At 42.3% G+C, this 19426-nt stretch overlaps 1 protein-coding gene across 4 annotated transcripts in view; it reads right to left on the bottom strand.

Moving 5' to 3' along the window:
• The window catches only part of SLC6A5 (solute carrier family 6 member 5), a 59678-nt gene continuing 40482 nt past the window's right edge, over positions 231-19426 (bottom strand). For 3 of the 4 annotated variants that reach the window (NM_004211.5, NM_001318369.2, XM_017018544.3), the window contains 3 exons: positions 12582-12682; positions 7060-7227; positions 231-4803 (listed from right to left, as the gene is read on the bottom strand). In NM_004211.5, the coding sequence (NP_004202.4) occupies positions 4648-4803; positions 7060-7227; positions 12582-12682 (425 nt within the window). In that variant the 3' untranslated portion in view covers positions 231-4647. The remainder of the gene's footprint in view (positions 4804-7059; positions 7228-12581; positions 12683-19426) is intronic. The other variant, XR_007062528.1, reaches the window with a different exon arrangement.

Raw genomic sequence — 19426 nt, 5'->3', positions numbered from 1 at the left:
AGGGTGATTAATAATTCAGCAAACAATAGTGTATTCTGATGGTTAAAAATATAATAATTGATATTTGTTTCTGCAGCAGCACAGTATCTCGTTTTCCCAGGACGGCAGTTTTCCATGGCTGTTCCAGGTTTTGCACAACAAAATTGATCAATCTGGGGGATACCTATAAGGCTGTTTATTAAGAAATAAAGATGATGGGTAATGGCTTTGTAAGAGACACAATACTATAATCATGTTTTAAACACTGACATTTATTTAGGGTTTTGTGAACTCATACATTATTAGGGTAAATTCTAATTTATATCAGTACATAATAGGCAAATATATAATACAATAAATTGCATTTTTATACATAAATAGAAAATTTGAGGTAGGGCCTCAAGAATGACTTCTTAAATGAATAATGTGCAGTATATAATATGTAATCTATAAGATATATATATATATATATATATATATATGATGCATCATTTGTAACATAATATATTTTCTTCATGTATAGTTAATGGAAAAATATAAGGACCTGATTAGGGAACATATGTTTATTCATGGGCAACAGTACCCACAAAAGATGCCTGCATTTAGGACATTAGCCAAGTACACAATGTAAGAATTAACCTATTCCTTTACAGGTCCATAATAAAGTGCAAAAACCACAAACAAATGAGAGACAAAACAGTTTTTAGTCAATTACTAAGAATCATCCTAACAGTAAAATACACCTGTAAGGCAAATGGTTACCTGAAGATGTATTTAATCCGTGGCAGGCAAGTCAAACCACTGCTTGCTTTTCAGAGGTGATGAATACCTAATCTGAAAACACTTTCTCTTTGGCTGCAGGCTGCTCAGAGGTGACCTGAGCAAAGACCACATTTCAAAACTACTTGGCCTTTCTGGGCAATTAAAGCAAAATCTGGGAAAGATAGGAAGCTTCACTTTCACAAATCCTAGGGCCACTTTGTGGGGAAATGAGTATCAAGGCAGAATCACCCACACCTTTGCTCCCAGCCTGGAAGTTTTCTGCTTGATACCCAGTGTGAAAGAGAAGGAAATGCTCCTCTGTTGGCCTTGGCCTTTTGGTCCTGCAAAACACCTGCCACACAGCACGTCCTCTCTTGAATCATCTGCCTCAAAGAAGCATGTCCCAACTCAAATCCAGGTGCAACAACAGTAGTATGATCTTGCCATCTCATCTTACATTGAGCAACAGTTATTGTGCTAGCCTCTGGGAAGAGGACAATGACCTACAGCCAAGGGAACAAAGAGAAAAGAAAATCTTACTTTTAGGCATGGGAAACCATGCTGAGAGCAAAGGTGGACAGGAAGCACTGAGAGACACATAGATGAGGAAACAAGAACTTAATTAAAGGAAAACTCAACTCCAATGCAACATTACCATAAAAACAACCCAAGTCCTATCCATTTAAAGGTCATCATGTTAAACTCTTTTTAAAGTGCTGCTTACTGAAATACAAGTTGATTACATTTCTTACATATTAAAAACACATTGCAAATTTCAAAGACATTGAGGTCATCATGATTTTGCATTGACCACAGACCTCATGCAATACATAAATATAAAGGAAAAAGAAACAATAAAACAGAACTAGACACATTTGTACCTGATAAGCACAGTCCTAAAGATAATAAAAGTTACTAATATGCAAGACATTTGCATAAGAAGTCACAACACCACTTGTTAAGAAATATACATTTTTTCTCCTCTAAGGATATGACAGGATTACTGTTTTTCACATATGGCTTTTTTTCTGAATGAGTTTCTGGCATTTGTTGGTGTTATGAAATAATCTCACAAGTGGAAAATGCTCCACCATTCTACACAGTGAACCAATGAAAGTCTTTCCTCAGCTACTCGGTTTTTTCCCCCACTTTGAAGGGAAGTTTTCAGGTGCCAGTTTCTAACAATGTTATTCATTTTATTTTTTTCATTTTTTTTCTTCCAATTGACTGTACATTTTAATATCATGGAAACAATCCATTAGACAAGCTAAATTTACAAGGTAACCATTTCCAGGTAAATTTGGAACCTTTCACCTAAGCGTGTCCCTTTAAACAAAGGGAAATAAATCTTGGAAATTATAGTGAAGTGGGGTGGGGGGGAAACAGCTGCTCAGGGAGCAGCTACTGCATCTTACCTGGACAAATCATAATTAACACAAATGTAAATGCCCCCAAATCCAAAACATGCAGCTAGTGATGAGGTCTCCGTTCTCACAATTAAGTTAACTTTCAGTTTGTACAAAACAAACCTGGCAGCATCTGTGGGAGCCCCCCACCCCCACCTTCTTTTAATCACAAAAGCAATAATTAGCAGAAATTGGGTTGGCGTCCAGCATCAGACTGCAACCATTGGCTCAATCAGAGTTTTAGCCAAGAGGCAACAGGAGAGCCAAAAACCATTCATCCTGACACAAACATACCAGTCCCATGAGAGAATGCTAATTGATTTAAGCTCTCTTTCTCAACCTTCAAATTGCAAAGCCTGCAGATAATTTCCAGGCCTAAGTTATTCCTCCTGGCTCCTCTCACTCTACCAGGTATCAGCTGGAGAGGCTCATTTTTGGTACCATTGTGCGACGTCTGCTGCAGTAATTGGGGGCTTCTCATCAATATGGCTTTCTTAGAGAAATCTGTGTTCATGGCAGACAGGTGAGGCCACAGCTCAGCTTCCTAAAGCTAAGTTTAGGGGAAGCTCAAGGTTTAGTCTCTATGATAGACTCAAGCAAGTTTGAGCTTTGGGAGACAAGGGGGGAAAGGAGGAGAAGGAGAGGGGAGAACAAATATACACTGCAGACAAAAGACATGAAAATCTAAAGTTCAAAACCCATCTTTGTTTCCTTTTCTAAAACCTTTCACAAGCTACTCTTAAAAACTGGAAGTTCATATTGATGTTGGCAAATGGCGATGATACTTGCCCTAGAAAAGGGAGAGCTCAGTAAAATGAGTTGAGACTTTTTTTAACAAATGAAATCTTTTAAAAAAAAATGTACATTAAAGCCTGTTGTTGGGTTTCATTGCTGTTAAACAGGATGAAAATGTCACAACAATATACAAGATTTGAACTGAAAAACTTTGCCTGAGACCCTGTACTATGAAGATAAATGAAGAAAATGATTGAAATGATCTCCCCTAAAGGAAACAATTTTAGGTTTAGATATTATTACTGTAAGGGAAAATAAAATCCCCAGACTACACTATACTAAACTCACCATCTCTACAGAATTCAAAAGATATTTATAAGGACAGAAAACACCACTACAAGTACACACTACATGAACACATGTCACATTTTAAAAATTTCATATATGCATGTTCAGGATACAAGAAGATAATAAAGTTTACACTTTGCCAATTTCTGCAGACATATGATCAGCTCTCATTAGAGTGCCGTTAAAATGAGTACTGTGAATAGGGAACTCTTAAAATTGAATTGGCTAAATGTAGTCTTAAAAGCTATAGTCTTAATTGGCTCACTCGCTACTTACCTAAGCTGTATTTATCAGAAAGTTCTATAAATACCATGTCCTAAAATGTACTACCAGTGCAGTGAATATTGTGGTTGCTTTCTATTAAACTCTCCATTTCTTTGATTTCTCTATGACCACAGTTGGCATTTACTGTGAATGAAAAAGAGTAAAAATTAAGAAGTTATCTGTCTTTTAAGAGCATGTGTCCTATATATATAATATATAGACAGAACCAGGGTAAGTCTTGTTTTCCCAGAGGTCAAAAGACAAGGTGTCTACAGCTTATAGAAAGACATTTAGAGAAGAAACACAGGATCGTGACATTGAACCATGGTGCTAAATATCATGTAGAAATGAGCATGGAGCTCTACTATGAACGTACAAAATGAGGCACAACTTATATGATGGCTTCTTGGGCAGAGGTGGAGGAAATGACCAAAAGAACTCACAAATGTGGTTATTTAAAACAAAAAAAGACAGTTGAGGGAAGAAAACTGACAGTTCAATCAAAGTCACAATGTGTAGACTGTAGCATCTGAGTTAGTGGTAACTGGAGATTGCTGATCCAAACGAAGGAAACAGATCCCCAGTGGTGACTGGAAATATAAACTTAACCACCTCAGTGGTGTCCAAATTGAATGGTCTTGTCTTACATCCAAAACATTTTCTGACCACTGCTAACTCTCTGAAAAAAAAAAAAACCTGTCTTGAACTTTGTGTGTCTGAACAAGATCACCACATTGCTCAGTTCTGTTCAAGTCCAAATAAAGTCTTGTAATTCGGCCACTCTATACATGCCTTACTGGCACCCCCCATGCCATCACACAGTGGATACCTCTCTATTGACAAAACCACGCATACCTACCAGTGCTCACCTAACTGATCCTCCTCTGCAGGGTAAAACGTGTGGTCAGGGGACCAACCTGACCAGAAACAGTCACCATGGGCACAGGCAAACAGCGCTTCAGGTGGTCTATGTAGCTCTTTACTGCAGCATGCGACACTATGCCTACTTTTCTACATAATCACTCTCATGCGTGGATGTGAACCAAGATGTAGGAAGAAAGATGAAGAAAAATGGGAGGAGAGCTATGGAAAACATTAGGAGGAGGCAGAGAGGAAAAACAGGATCAAGTCTGGACCATCCCACACCACTGGACTAGCACTGAGTGCCCAGTTCCAAATCCTTCACTGGCAGTTTGAGTCCCAAGGAAGAGGTTCCCAAGGGGTCGATCATGTTCTTGTAACGCTCCCCGCGGTGTTGAGCTAAGAATGGGCCCCAGTCCGGCTGTGGCGAGCACACCAACTTCAGCCTCTGCAAAGAAGCCAAAGACAGACATGGTCACAGAAGTAGTGCACCTTCCTCACCTGGGGACGACCCACTCATCCCCAAACTGCTTATGACCACTTTGACCAGAGTCCTTGCTTGAGCCAAGAGGCCCTCTACCAAGAGAGGCAGTTAGGAAGATAAGCGTTCATTAATTAACTAGGCCAGAGACATTAAAAAGGACACTTAGTTTGGTTCACTTGAAATTATTTACATCACCCTGCAAGCAATATTGCAATTGCTCTGTGTTTGCCTTGCACAAGATTAATAGAGGATAAAGGGCCCAGATTTTAATTATATATTTTTTCCCTCCAAATGAAGAGAATCCACAAGCTTCTCTCTTCACTGCCAAACACAGTCTGCAAAACACATGTGCTTGATTACTTTTGTTCTGTAGTCTCAACAGTGGATTGCTACATCTAAATAATTGCATTTTGTTTAGCATATTTCCCAGAAGGATATAAATGACCGGAGGAAAAAAAAAATCCAACCCCAAAGATACATCGCCAAGAGTGAGCAAAGATTTTAATTATCTGTTGACAAAATGCACGCTTCTGACTTGGTTCAGCAGTGTGGGTTCTTGCAGGCAAGCTAAAAATAATAGGAATGTCTCTAATCCTTCAGCTGAAATTTTTATGGAAAACATAACTTGACTGAAACATTTTCTAGAAAAAGGAAAGAAAACATATTTCTGACTAAGAGGGAACAATTATATGTTTATTACCTTTTAAAGTGAAGCTGGTACTTAGAGCTGTTAGTTTAATCTCTCCTTAATCATCAGTTTGCAACCTTTGTGTCCCAAATCCACCATAATAAATTTATATAGCCAACTCAATTAGTTTAGAGAATTTTAGCCTAAGACAAAAGTAGCAGAGGCTAAACCAGGTTCTATTCAGAGGGAAAGAGATTTCTGGGTCAGTTGGTGGGGAGGCTTATGTGCGGCAGAAGTGAACCATCTCTGGAAGCCCATGGGGCCAGTCACTTACCTCATTTACCTCAAGGGAATAACAGAATTTCCTGAGGTTGGAAACTAGAATACAGCTGCAGTAAAAAGATTCCTACACCTCCTTTTGCTAATTCTGTCTCTACCGTTAGTCCAATGAAGACAAAAGCTACCTCCCCACCCAGTGGACTTTTGTGTTGTGCACGTACCACATGCCTGATTCCCATCCTCTGTCTCCCCTCCAGAGCCTCAATGGGATAACCCAGAGGCCTGTTCCTTCTTCATTCCTTTTTCAACCCATCAGACCAACAGCAAAGCCCAAACTGTTCTTCTCTGCCTTCTATCACCTGAGTCTAGTCCAATGCTTCGCTAACGAGGGGGCTTGTTAAACTGTAGATGCCAGGGTCCCATTTCCCCAAGACTCTGGTTCAGTAGGAGTCTTCTGCCTGGATTCTGATCATATGCATTTCCAACAAGTTCTCAGGTGAGAAGGATGCTGCTGGTCTCAGGAGCAAACCCTAAGTAGCCCTGATTTAGTCCAAAATGCCAGATTCCTGGATCCTCAAGACCGAGGCAGGGCTGAGTGATTCCTAGCACACCTGAGCAAGTGACTCCTCATAAATAACAAAAGCCTGACCACACTTCACTGGTGGCACAAGAGGCAGTCCCCTTCCCATTCACTCAGGAGTGACAGTGGGGATTCTTCACATTAGAGATGGGAATTGGGTCCAGCAAGGGATCAATTGACAAAGAAAGACAAGTCTCACCTCATACCAGCCACGTCCTGAAATTCTCACTACATTCTGTGGGAACAGTGACATTTTAATCAGCTGAGACCCTCAACCATCCCTAACAGAGGCACAACAGGAGGGGGTAGTGATTTTAAGTTTAATGGTAATAGATGTTTGGGAAGAAGAAGGCTTAGACAGAGAGGAGCATCAGGGAAGGGGGAATCTGATGTGTGGTTAAAAACAAAACACTGAGATTTAAACTGTGGATAAGGGGAGAGGAAGAGGAAACTCCAGGAAAGAGGAGACCCTCCGATCATTTATTCCCCAGAGCTGTCACCACACTGAGGACCAGCATAATAACAGTTCTGCTTGCAGACTGGCTGAGCCCCTCCATTAGAGGAATCATACATAATAAAAATGGGTTTAACAGAAACGGTGGCAACTGTAATCGCTTCATCACCAAGTCTCCCTCTTGAATAAGTTTACCGAATCTTTTGTTTTTTAACATGCAGAGCTTTTATGGGCTTTCCCTTGGGAGGAATTGGGAGGGAAAGAAGTAGACAGAATTACCTCAATAAATCTTCCAGGGGCCAGATGCATTTTTATCACAAACATAATTGGGATCCAGATGACGGAACAGGCGAGCATTAGCCATCCGAGCACCATGGACCAGTTAGGATAGCGGTAAGAGCCATAGGTCATGGGCTCCCACTGGTAAAAGCTGAAGCAAAGGATAAACTGGAAAGAGAAAAGTGACACACGTGTTAGGGTGGTGGCGTGAATTATTCAAGCACTCAACACTATTAAACCCCCGTTATGAGTTTGATGCTTTCGTCTCTATTATTCTATACCCACGAAAGAGTAGTATTATTAATCCATTTTTCAAATGAAGAAACTAAATTTCAAAGAGATGGAAATGATATATTCTGAGCTGCTGACTCTGCATTTGCCAAACCATGGGAGCGGAGCAATATGTGTGCATGTGTATACATACAGACAGGCAGAGAAGACAAGTTTAAAGGATACATACCAAGGTCACAAATAGGCAGAGGTGGGCAGGGGTGATAGTGGGTGTTTTTAAGGAGTTCTCTGTATTTTCTTTTTCTTTTTTTTTTCTTTTTGAGACAGAGTCTCACTCTGTCACCCAGGCTGGAGTACAATGGCGTGATCTCAGCTACTGCAACCTCCCCCTCCCAGGTTCAAGCGATTCTCCTGCCCCAGCCTCCCGAATAGCTGGGATTACAGATGTATGCCACACACCCAGCTAATTTTTGTATTTTTAGTAGAGACAGTATTTCACCATGTTGGCCAGGCTGATCTCAAACTCCTGACCTCAGGTGATCTGCCCACCTCGGCCTCCTAAAGTACTGGGATTACAGGTGTGAGCCACTGTGCCCAGCCCGTATTTTCTGTAAGGGGTAATAATCAAGCTTTTGCTATAAGAAAGAAACCCAGGCCAGGCGCAGTGGCTCATGCCTGTAATCCCAGCACTTAGGGAGGCTGAGGCGGTGGATCACCTGAGGTCAGGAGTTTGAGACCAGCCTAGCCAACATGGTCAAACCCCATCTCAACTAAAAATATAAAAATTAGCCAGGCATGGTGGCACGCGCCTGTAATCCCAGCTACTTGGGAGGCTGAGGCAGGAGAATTGCTTGAACCTGGGAGGCAGAGGCTGCAGTAAGCCGAGATCATGCCACCGTACCCCAACCTGGGCAATAGGGCGCGTCTCGGTCTCAGGAAAAAGGGAAGGGCATAGGAGGGGTGGGGGAGAGGAGGGGAGGGGAGAGGGCAAGAGGGGTGGGGGGTGGAGGGAAGGGAAGGGGAGGGAGGGGAAACCCATTCCGTTTATGTATTTTTACTTTTAAAAAATTGAATCTACTTTGCTTTCTTCTGGAATGAGGAATGGCCCACATCCCGGAGCTTCCTCTAATGCTGGCTGAGTGAGACACAGAGTGGTCCCCGGGCCGTGACTGAGCTGGAAGCTTGGTCCTATAATAAGCTATGGGACAAACAGAAGGGATGCACAGCTCCCCTTAAATGACTCAATAAGAACAGGCGTCTGGCCGGGCGCGGTGGCTCACGCCTGTAATCCCAGCACTTTGGGAGGCCGAGGCGGGCGGATCACGAGGTCAGGAGATCGAGACCATCCTGGCTAACACGGTGAAACCCCGTCTCTACTAAAAATACAAAAAATTAGCCGGGCGTGGTAGCGGGCGCCTGTAGTCCGAGCTACTCAGGAGGCTGAGGCAGGAGAATGGCGTGAACCCGGGAGGCGGAGCTTGCAGTGAGCCGAGATCGCGCCACTGCACTCCAGCCTGGGCGACAGAGCGAGACTCCATCTCAAAAAAAAAAAAAAAAAAAAAAAAAAAAAGAACAGGCGTCATCACCAAGTGGTGAGCCGTGACCCCGGAGACCAGCAGGCTGATCTTGGCCCAACCACTAATTAGCTGAGGGGACCTTTATGTCACAGACTTCCCTGCCATAAAATGGATATATCTCACTCTGTGTATACCACACAGGGGTTTTCTGGAAATGATAGTTTGGTATTTACTCATGAGTCCCCCCTTGATTTTAAGAGAGGTCATGATGTGTTTTCTGCCCATTAACTCCTATCACTGCACACTTGGGCTAGCAACAGCCATGAGACCCCTCTGAAGACTTGGCCAGTGCAGCTGAAGAGAAAGAAAGGAATTTAAGTGCTGAAAATGGAGGCATCTTTAAAAAGTGGAGCCAAGGTTCTAACTTCTCTACTCAAGCCTTTGGGGGAAAATTTCCCTGAAAAGTGTATGGCTCCCTGTATTCACCCTGCCTGTAGCAACATCAGCCTAGAATAATGTACCTATGTAAGTCCTCTCCTCCTCTCCCCACCCCTCTCTTCCTAACTTAAACAACAAAATAACTGCGCAAAAGTGATTGGAAGGAATTTTGCCAGGAAAGATAATGTATGAAAGTGTTTTAGAAAAGTGTGAAGTGCTAGATGGATGTAAGGCATCTGTATTACTGCCGCAAAGCCCAGGCAGCTGGGGCAAGTGATTATTTCAGTACAATAATAATTCAATATATTGATTCAAAGCAACATGAGCCCAAAGACAACTGTTGGAAAAAAGTCTTCTATGGAAAGAGATGTCTACTCTAGGCCCCTTTTTAAACATTTGTCCCTAGAGTTATAAACTTTATTAACCAGAGTATTGTAAGTATGGCCTAATGTAATTATGGTAAGCTGCTCCATTTCATTTACTATATAAATAGCAATACATCTGCTTATGTGCATGCATAACTCAGTAACGTGATCTGACTATGTATACAGTAATTGCATGGAGAATATTTATAGCTCTATAAATCCATGAAGGCATATATAAAAATGATCAATTTCGTTTTAGGGGCTCCAAAGTAATTTAAACCCATAATCTTAGCCTATTCCAGCACACCACAAATATCCATTTTATAGAAGGGCAAATGGCAAAAAATAAGTGTTGGGCTTGGTCCTCCGACACTCATTTCCAGTTGCACAAATATCATATCAAACTTACCCGGGCAAATTTGTCCTTTGCCATAAATTTCCCTCTGCCAAGTTAACTTTGATGAAACCCTGTCCTTGGCTGGGACTGGCCATGAGAGATAATAATTTAGCCACTGAGTCAGGTACACCCTGACCTTTTTGTGATGGCAGCCAAAGAAGGTGCTGGAGGGAGACTCATCAGTTGACAATGATGATGGAATTGACCCCTTCTCATTGTCCTTACTTCCCAGCCAACACAGAAGGGGAATCTGGTTCAGGATATTTTCTGGGACCTCTCCACAACTTTCTGGCATAAGATTTATATTAGAAACTAAGTAAAGCACAACATAGTTGAGGAACTTTCTCAAAAAACAGGAAGTCCGTAAAATTCCTCTTCTCTGACATTCTGCTCACAAAAATGATTAGAACTATTTTAATCCAAACTGGCCAAACTCTAATTGAAGATGAAAGTACTAGGTTTTTAGAGATAATATATAGGTATTGGCTTGAAGCTTAGACAGTCCTGGATTCAATTCTTGGCATTGTCACCTCCAAATCTAGTGGCCTGGGGCAAGTTCCTTGACCTCTCCAAGCCTCAGTGCACACACGTGTAAAATGAGAGAGGAATCACCCAGCAGGCAAAGTGGTCCTAAGCTTTAGAAACAATGCTTATGAAGTGCCTGCCTCATATAGACCACAACAAATAGCAGCGCTGATTATTACTATGTGAAATGTTATTCCAGAGTATAATAAAATCCTCTGAAGCACAGTATCTTTTGGGGTGGGAAGAAAAGCAAGAGGAAATCTAGAACATGTTCTAACTTTGATTTTAATCAAGCATAAACCATGAGTGTTAGGATCCGGGGAAGAGGGCAAGTGCAGTAGAGATGGGAACACCGGAGGCCTGTGAGTCTGTCTGTTCGCAGATGTTCTCTTCCCACCGATTAGGTAAATTCAAGTTCTTCATATACATTCCAGTCCTGAATTCAAGAGATAGAAAGCCTACCCTTTTCAACTCTCATGCCCCAAATCTGGTGGGACTTTTCAGACAAATTGCAGACTCTAAAATATAGGTACAGATGTCAGCTTCAGTATGATGTTCATGTCAACGCAGAGGGAGATCAATGCTGAACGATTTTTCTGTCTACATTTCTAGCTTTTCAGAAAGAAATTGAGATGTTTTGATTAAAACTCATTTTATGAAGGAAGGGAAGAGAGGGAGGGAAGGAAAGAAGAAAGAAAGAAAAAAATGTATTCCCTCTGCGATTGTACTTTCATCCTGTCTTGGTTGCCTTTAGGGAAACTGGGACCATGTGTAATAGCAAAACAAAGGCCTTAATCTGGTTTCTAGTGCCACCTACTGGATTCTGTGGGAATTACAGCCAACATCCTCCAGCGTTCCCAAAATTACACCTGTACAAGCCACAGAGGAGGATGGGGAAGGATCTCTGTCAATTGCTGTGTTTGCAGTGTGAAGTGGGGCAAAGCTGGCAGCTTATAGCACAATAACAAAGGTGACAAAATGAGAATGTAAGACCCTGAACTGCAGATTTTCTGAAACGTGAAAGGCTCTGATCTTTAAGAAGGTGAATGTCAGATGATCCCAAAATGTCATCATCCCACTTGAAGATGACAAGGTAGTTCTCAAAAGCAATGAAAATTAGCATAAAAGCTTAATGCTATATTAGTTGTAGAGCAGCTGTGTTGAACAGTGATTAAGAGCATGAATTCTAGAGGCAGACCGCCTAAGTTCAAATCCAAGCTGTTGATAATTATTAGATGTACAAGGCAAGGCAAGTCACATCAACTCTGGGCTTCCGTTTCCTCATCTGTAAAGTGGAGATAATTATAATGCCAACCTTGAGGAGCTACTGTGAGGGAGAGATGAGGCTATACATAGGAAGCACTGTGAACAAAGCCTACAGCAAATTAGCACGTGGAAAACGTGGCTGTGATTGTAAGCCATTATTAGTACATAAAGCAGACTGATATAATGGGAAATGTGCCATAGGAAATGTTCCATAGGAACATTTATATATATATATAGGAACTGATATATATATAAATATATATAGGAACTGATATATATATAATAGGAACTATATAATAGGAATTCCTATATAATAGGAATATATATAACTATATAATAGGAATATATAGTTATATATATAACTATATAATAGGAATATATAGTTATATATATAACTATATAACTATATAATAGGAATTCCTATATAATAGGAATATATATAACTGATATTATATATATAGGAACTGATATATATATAAATATATATAAATTTATATATATATATAGGAACTGATATAATGGGAAATGTGCCATAGGAAATGTTCTCCAAAGACCTTTGCATGAGTCCTAGCTCTGCACCTGACCTGCTAGGCACCTTTAGGCAAGTCTTTTCAACTCTCTGAACTTCAGTTTTCTCATTTGAAAGACAAGACCACCACCCAACCTACCAGCTCCCAGGCTCACACACTGTTCAAATGTAAACAGGCATGCACTGTTCAAATGTAAAACACCACATACGTATGCAAGGTGCTGTCTGCACAAGAAAACATGCAAAATCCTTACGGTTAAAATGGTTGGGGTTACAAATGCCCAGCAGACTTTCCAGAAGATGTTAGGCTGGAATCCAATCATCATCTCTATATCTTCACAGAATCTTTGCAAGCCTGCAAATAGACAAGCAGAGAACAGGTATAAGGCACAGTAGCAGGAAGGTGAGGTGGTGGCAGGGCAGGCACTAGAGCCCCTCACTCAAGCACCATTGGCTAGGGCTGGCCCCAGCCCTGTATCAACATGACCTCTATTATGCAGGGAACCATCAGACAAATGACTCGCTGCCAGGAAGATTAAGGCAAATTGAACACTTAAATAGATATTAAATATGCTCTGTGGTGAGATTAAAAAATGTCAGCCTGCAGTGACATCTAAAAAGTTCAGTTCCAGCCTGGCCCAGACTCTCAGCATTGCTACAACCTGACATCTCACATGTGCAGCTGTTTTCTGAGGTGCTTAGTGACAACTCTGGCAAAACCAGTGAAGACTGTGGTCAATAAACAGAGCATATTCTGAAAGCATTGGAATTTAGAGAGAAAATCATTGCACACCGGCTTTTATCCCCCACCCTCCCAAAGCCACTCTTCCAATGAGTCATTTATCTTTGTGCCGTGCAAGATGATAATAGCACACAAAAACCAACGTAAATTCCAAGTGTCAATCACCCACTTTGTTGGAACTCAAAGGACTGCTGTCTTCTTGGTCACTCATCAACCTCACTAAAGTAAAAACAGAGGAGATGGTTACTCTCATGGCCCTAGACAACCGCCATCCCTGCACCCTCTTGGTTTAGGAAGGTTTTTAAAACCACTCCTTGAAAGAAAAAGGCATTGAGAAATATTTTAGAATTGGGCAGTTTCTTGCATTCTTTCCCCACCTCATCAGAACTGTGGCCTTCCCAGGACTGTGGGATTAAGATGTTGAATGGACCTACACGGTCTCCAAGTTCAAGCTCCTTCATAGTCAGCAGCTCTGATTTCAACATGGCCTCAGCTTAAAAACTCATCATTCTGGCCGGGCGTGGTGGCTCATGCCTGTAATCCCAGCACTTTGGGAGGCCAAGGCAGGTGGATCACGAGGTCAGGAGATCGAGAACATCCCGTCTAACACGGTGAAACCCCGTCCCTACTAAAAATACAGAAAAGCTGGGCATCGTGGCGGGCGCCTAGAGTCCCAGGTACTCGGGAGGCTGAGGCAGGAGAATAGTGTGAAACAAGGAGGCAGAGCTTGTAGTGAGCCGAGATCGCACCACTGCACTCTAGCCTGGGTGACACAGCAAGACTCTATCTCAAAAAAAAAAAAAAAAAAAAACACTTCATCATTCCTTCATCCTCCATCATTTTCATGAAAAGTGGGTACCTGCAGGTCAAGAGGGACATACCAACATCTCCTCCCATCAAGAATACTCCTTGTACATTTTCAGGCCTTCTTTCTAGACCTTGGTCGCTTGCTCCTCCTGTTCTCAGGATTTCCCAGCCTCCTCAGATTTCTGGGTCTTTTGCCCTGAGCTCCACCAGAGCAGGTGAATTCAGTCTCTGGGTGCTCCTCTTCCTGCCTTCACTGGCCACCTCTCCCACTTCTGCCATCATCTCCCTGGACACCACCTGTACTAGCTGCCCTCATCTGATCAGTGTCCCCCACCACCCCCACCTCAGTCCCCACTTATCCTTCCTGGTCCTGTATTTTCAATGCGTGCCCTCTACTACTTGGAAGTGGGGAAGGATGGATGTGATGTGAGAAGATAATCTCTTGCTGGGCTAGAAAGCAGAGACTGGAGTTTTCCTTCTGCAGAATGGAATAGTTCAATTCAGACCCTTAAAAAATGGACCCGCTGGGCCAGGCATGGTGGCTCTATCCTGTAATCCCAGCATTTTGGGAGGCCGAGGCAGGTGGATCACTTGAGGCCAGGAGTTCGAGATCAGCCTGGCCAACTTAGTGAAACCCCATCTCTACCAAAAATACAAAAAATCAGCCGGGCATGGTGACGCATGCCTGTAATCCCAGCTACTTGGGAGCCCGAGGCAGAAGAATCATTTGAACCCGGGAGGCAGAGGTTGCAGTGAGATGAGATCGCACCACTGCACTCCAGCCTGGGCAACCAGAGCGAAACTCTGTCTCAAAAAAAAAAAGAAAAAGAAAAAGAAAAAAATGGCCCTGCTGATGTTCTATATCTTGATTTGGGTGCTGGTTACATTGGGGTGAAAATTCATTGAGTTGTACACTCAAGATACATGCTCTTGTGGCAAAAAGTAACCCTAGTACACTGTTGGTAGGAATGTAAATTAGTACAGTCACTATGGAAAACATTATGGATGTTCCTCTGAAAACTAAAAATAGCACTACCATATGATCCAACAATCCAGCTACTGGGTGTATATCCAAAGGATGTGACATCAGTATGTCCAAAAGATATCTGCACTCTTATGTTTATTGCAGCATCAATGGAATCAACATAAGTGCACATCAACTGATGAATGGATAAATGTGTGGTGTACATACACAACGGCGTACCATTCAGCCTTTTGAAAGAGTGGAGATGATGTCACGAGTGATAACATGAACCTGGAGGACATTATGCGAAGTAAAATAAGCCAGGCACAGAAAGACAAACACTGTATGTTCTCACTTACGTGTGGAATCTAAAAAAAAAATTGAACACAGAGAAGGAGACAGCAGAATGGTAGTTACCAGAGGTTGGAGAATGGGGAAAATGGGGAGATGTTTGTCAAGGATACAGTGTTTCAGTTAGACAGGAGGAATAAATGATAAGTATATGAGGTGATAGAAATGTCAATTAGCTTGATTCAATTGTTCCACATTGTATAACACATATAGCATCCCTTTTGAACCTCGTAAATATATACAATTATAACTTGTCAGTATCTAATAAAAAATACATAAATAAATGAAAAATATATCATGTATGTACATTGTACTTCAATCTTAAAATTAACTCAAAAAACTCCACTCCAGACACGACTATCAAAATAATGGATCCTGAGACCCTTCACAGCCCTCCACTCCTGACATTTGCTTTTACTTCCTACCAAGCTCAGACTGAGAATGTCAGCCACCCCTCATGTACAGCGAGTCTCCAGACCCCTGACAGCAGCCACCATGGAGGGCCGCCAAGCCTCGGGACTGTTGTAGAGGAGCCTGTGCTGGGAACAGTATGACGATTCATCCAAGGCAACTTTTCCCAGCTCACTCTAAAATGCCTTAGGTTGCAGCTGAGCTTCCTGCTCTACTTTAAGGCAAGTCTGACAGCAGTCAGTCACAAACATGGTACAGTGGAAAGAGCACTGGACTGGGAGTTAAGGTCCAAGAGTTGATCCCCAGTTCTTCTACTGACTCACTGTGTGACCTTAGGTGAAACAGTCTTCCTGCCCAAGCTGTTGTTTATTGGGGAGACTGAGCCAAATGAGCTCTTAAGGCTTTTCCGGAGAGGTCAATCCATGACGCAAGGACACTCCAGGTTGCTTTCTTGGGTCTACAGGCAAGAACTGCATGCTTTGAGCAGCTGACCCAATCATCTTTGGATTTGTTAGTCTCCTTTAGTTTTTATTACACACCTTCAAATGAGTGGCCTCTGATCACTAGGCCTTCTGAGCATAAGTGAGGGGAGAGAATAAAATAAATAGAAGTCAAAGCTGAGGCCCTCAAAAATATATATAAAGCACCAACAGCAGGCCTCAGTTCTTTTTCTAAAAAAAAAAAAAGAGAGAGAGATTCTAGAAATTTCTATTATTAGCATCAATCCTGTTGCCATGTTGTTCCCCTTCATGAAACCATCCCCAAGAGATGGTGGCTTGTGGCTTGACTGGGGACACCGATATGATAGGGCTCAAGGTTAGACCTAAGGAATACACATAAGCAGCCTCCTGTAAGAGGAGGGGGTCATGGTAAAAGTGCTCAAGCTCCCCGAGAGGGGATAAAGAGCTGGACCCCAAGCTGTAGGAAGGGGTGGATCATGGGTGCTCAGTTTTCAGCAAGAGACAACTTAATGAAGAGGAGCAGTCCTGGGACCAAGAGTGAAAAGGCTTGGGTTTCAGGGCCAGTTTGGACCCCGGAAAGACATTTCCCCTGTCACGCAACCCTCCTGCACCGTGCCATTCCTGAGTCAAGCTCTCCAGTTCCTCCAGCCTCTGCCTCACTCCCAGCACCCAGGCCCTGGCCCACATCCAAGTCCCCACCTGAGTCCTTCACTGAGTCAACAGCTATTTTCATCTTAGGCCTCTGTTTATATGGTTTCCTCTGCCTGCTTTCTCCTTTCCCCTAATCCACATCCATCTTGCCTTCAAGGCCTAACTCATGATAAAGGAACTGTTCTTGGAGCCTTGAGCATGGGCAAGAGGGACTTGCCTGCTGTATGACCTCAAGCCTGGAGGGGTAAGAGAGCAAGTAGTCAGGCCCCAAAAGGGCTCTGAGCAGCTGATTCTCAAAAATGCGTCTGAATTAGCAGAAAAACAGCAGGGGGGAAAGAAGGTGGTGAACTCATGGCTATTATTTTAGACTCAAACAGATATGAGGCTCAGAAATCAGTCCATGACAAACTGCATACGACCAAAAGATCCTGAACTGAGATGTCAAAGAGTTGCTTCAACCAGTCAATCACTTTCCCCCATGCACCTTTGTGGCTTTTGCCTCTCTAAACCACACCTGTGCCCTTGGTCTGGATATTGTTCATGGGGGCTGCTCTCCCTCCTGGGTGGCCAGGTGTGGTTCCTCTCTGAGCACACAGATCTCTGTGCTCAGAGAGGAACCACACCTGGTTTAGCGCTCTCCAGCTACCATATTGAACTTCATATTTTTTTTTAACAAGTGACTCTATATTTTCATTTAGTACTATATCCCACAAATTACGTCTCCAGTCTTGTGTATACTTTTGGACAAGTAAATCCCCAAGTCATTCTTTTGTAGTTACTGTGAAGGGCCCTCAGCTTAATACTCCCTAAGTCCCAGTGTTTATTTATTTTATATTATTTTTTCTCTGAGATGCCACCTCCAAGGATTTTCTGACTACTCTGACCCTCCATTATCTCTGGGCAACAAAAGGGCTCACAGCCAGGGATGCACAGTTAGCACTGTCCTTCTCCTCAGTGTCTTAAGTGTGTGTGTTCTTCCTTGGGAGCTAGTTGGCAAGTTCCATGACTATAGGACATTATCCCACCCTCTCCACATTCTTAAAAGCCCACATGACATACTCACACACATTTACCTGTGTGAGTTATTAATGAGCTAAAGCCTCTCATTCCTAAAATTTACTGAGTACCAGAAAATGGAACTAGGGAACACTACACCCTGAAATTGGTGGTGTATACCATGACATTTCAGATAAAAACATAAGGGAAAGTGGAGCTCAGGGAGGGGGCTCACAGAGAAATAAATTAAGCTTGAATTTGCAGATTTCAGGGGTACAGTTTATTTTTGTTGTTTTGTTGTTTTTGGGGGGTTTTGTACTTTAAAAAATCTTGCTGAGTTCAGCCATCAGGATGGGCAAGAACTGAAAACAGATAGTCCATCAAGCAAAAGCCATTGTCTGCTGTGAATCTAACATTTCTCACAAGAATGTGAAGAGAGGCCATCTGGGAGGTGGAATGTGAAACAAGTAACTGACTGACATGGAAAACAGATCAAGACCACTCCATGTTGAGGTTGGGGAAATACACAATGAAGAGCCAGGCAGTTAGCAAGCAGGAGACCTTGGTAGTGGCTGTTCAATCACATTGTTTCTCCAGCCAAAAGGCCCCTGTACTGGCTCCAGAAAAAATGCAAAACATTTTTTCAAAATGACTCTACTTAGATAAAAGTCTGCTAAAGGGACCACTTCTACACAAAACTAAGGGAGTTTTACTTTTAAACCTGGATACCTCGAAGCCAGCTATTGGCCATTGAGGCATGTTGACTTGAGAACGTCAAACAACTGTTTCAATCTAATAAATAAAACTTGAAAATTGTCCCTACCATATTTCAAATGTTTGGATGATATCCTCTAGAATCTAGAGATTATTAGAAACAAGAAGAAAACACAAATGTCTTCAATTCACTGGCTTATTTTTTTAATTCTGGCTAGGAAGGTAGCACATCAAGTGAGTCAGTTTCATTTTAACCCTTCACAGGTTTATGTTCCACTATTTTAAATGAACCCTGCACTGGTCTGGGGCCTCATCATCTCAATAAAGAATACACTGTCTTCTGGGATATAAATTACAGATTTGTGCAGGCTTTTTTCTTCTTTTTTTTTTTTTTACCTCAAACAGTCATGTTAGCTTATTTTTCTTCCTGAGATTCACTTCTTAGAATTCCATCCAGATCCAAATCAGAGGCGCACACCCACATCCGACACTGCAGAAGTCAGGTTCAACCTGAGCCCAGCACAGAGTCAACCTGATTCTGGAGGCAAGCCCAACACCAGCACTCTTACTTAGAAACCAGGGGATTCCCTGGGTGGTCCCAAGGAAAATTAACATAGCCCAGGGACTAAAGCACTCAGGATTTATTTTTTCCTTCAGAACTAAGAAACCTATGACTAGATTTGTATGGGGATGCGGGGGAGACTATTTAATTCCTAAAAACAGAAATATTAAGGTTTCTATTTTAATGATGTTTTAAACCATCCTGAACAGCCCTGTTTTATAGGGAAGAACTGTGCAAACGTGCCCTTTGTGGCAATCAGCAGTTAGGGTACAGGTAACAGAAGATGTAAATGAGATAGTTACTTGCACTTGGGCCAGTGCTGCAAATAAAGTGCTTTCCCGACTTTGCCAACTGATCGTCTAGTGACCTCAGCTTACATGTTGACCCATGAGGTGCTGAGGTGCCAAAGAAAGACCTTGGAGGCTTCTTTTTGCCTCTCC

This window comes from Homo sapiens, chromosome 11 (genome assembly GCF_000001405.40).
Source record: "Homo sapiens chromosome 11, GRCh38.p14 Primary Assembly".
Lineage (NCBI taxonomy): Eukaryota > Metazoa > Chordata > Mammalia > Primates > Hominidae > Homo > Homo sapiens.
Note: the sequence above shows the minus strand (reverse complement) of the source record. Positions and strands in the feature narration are given on the sequence as shown.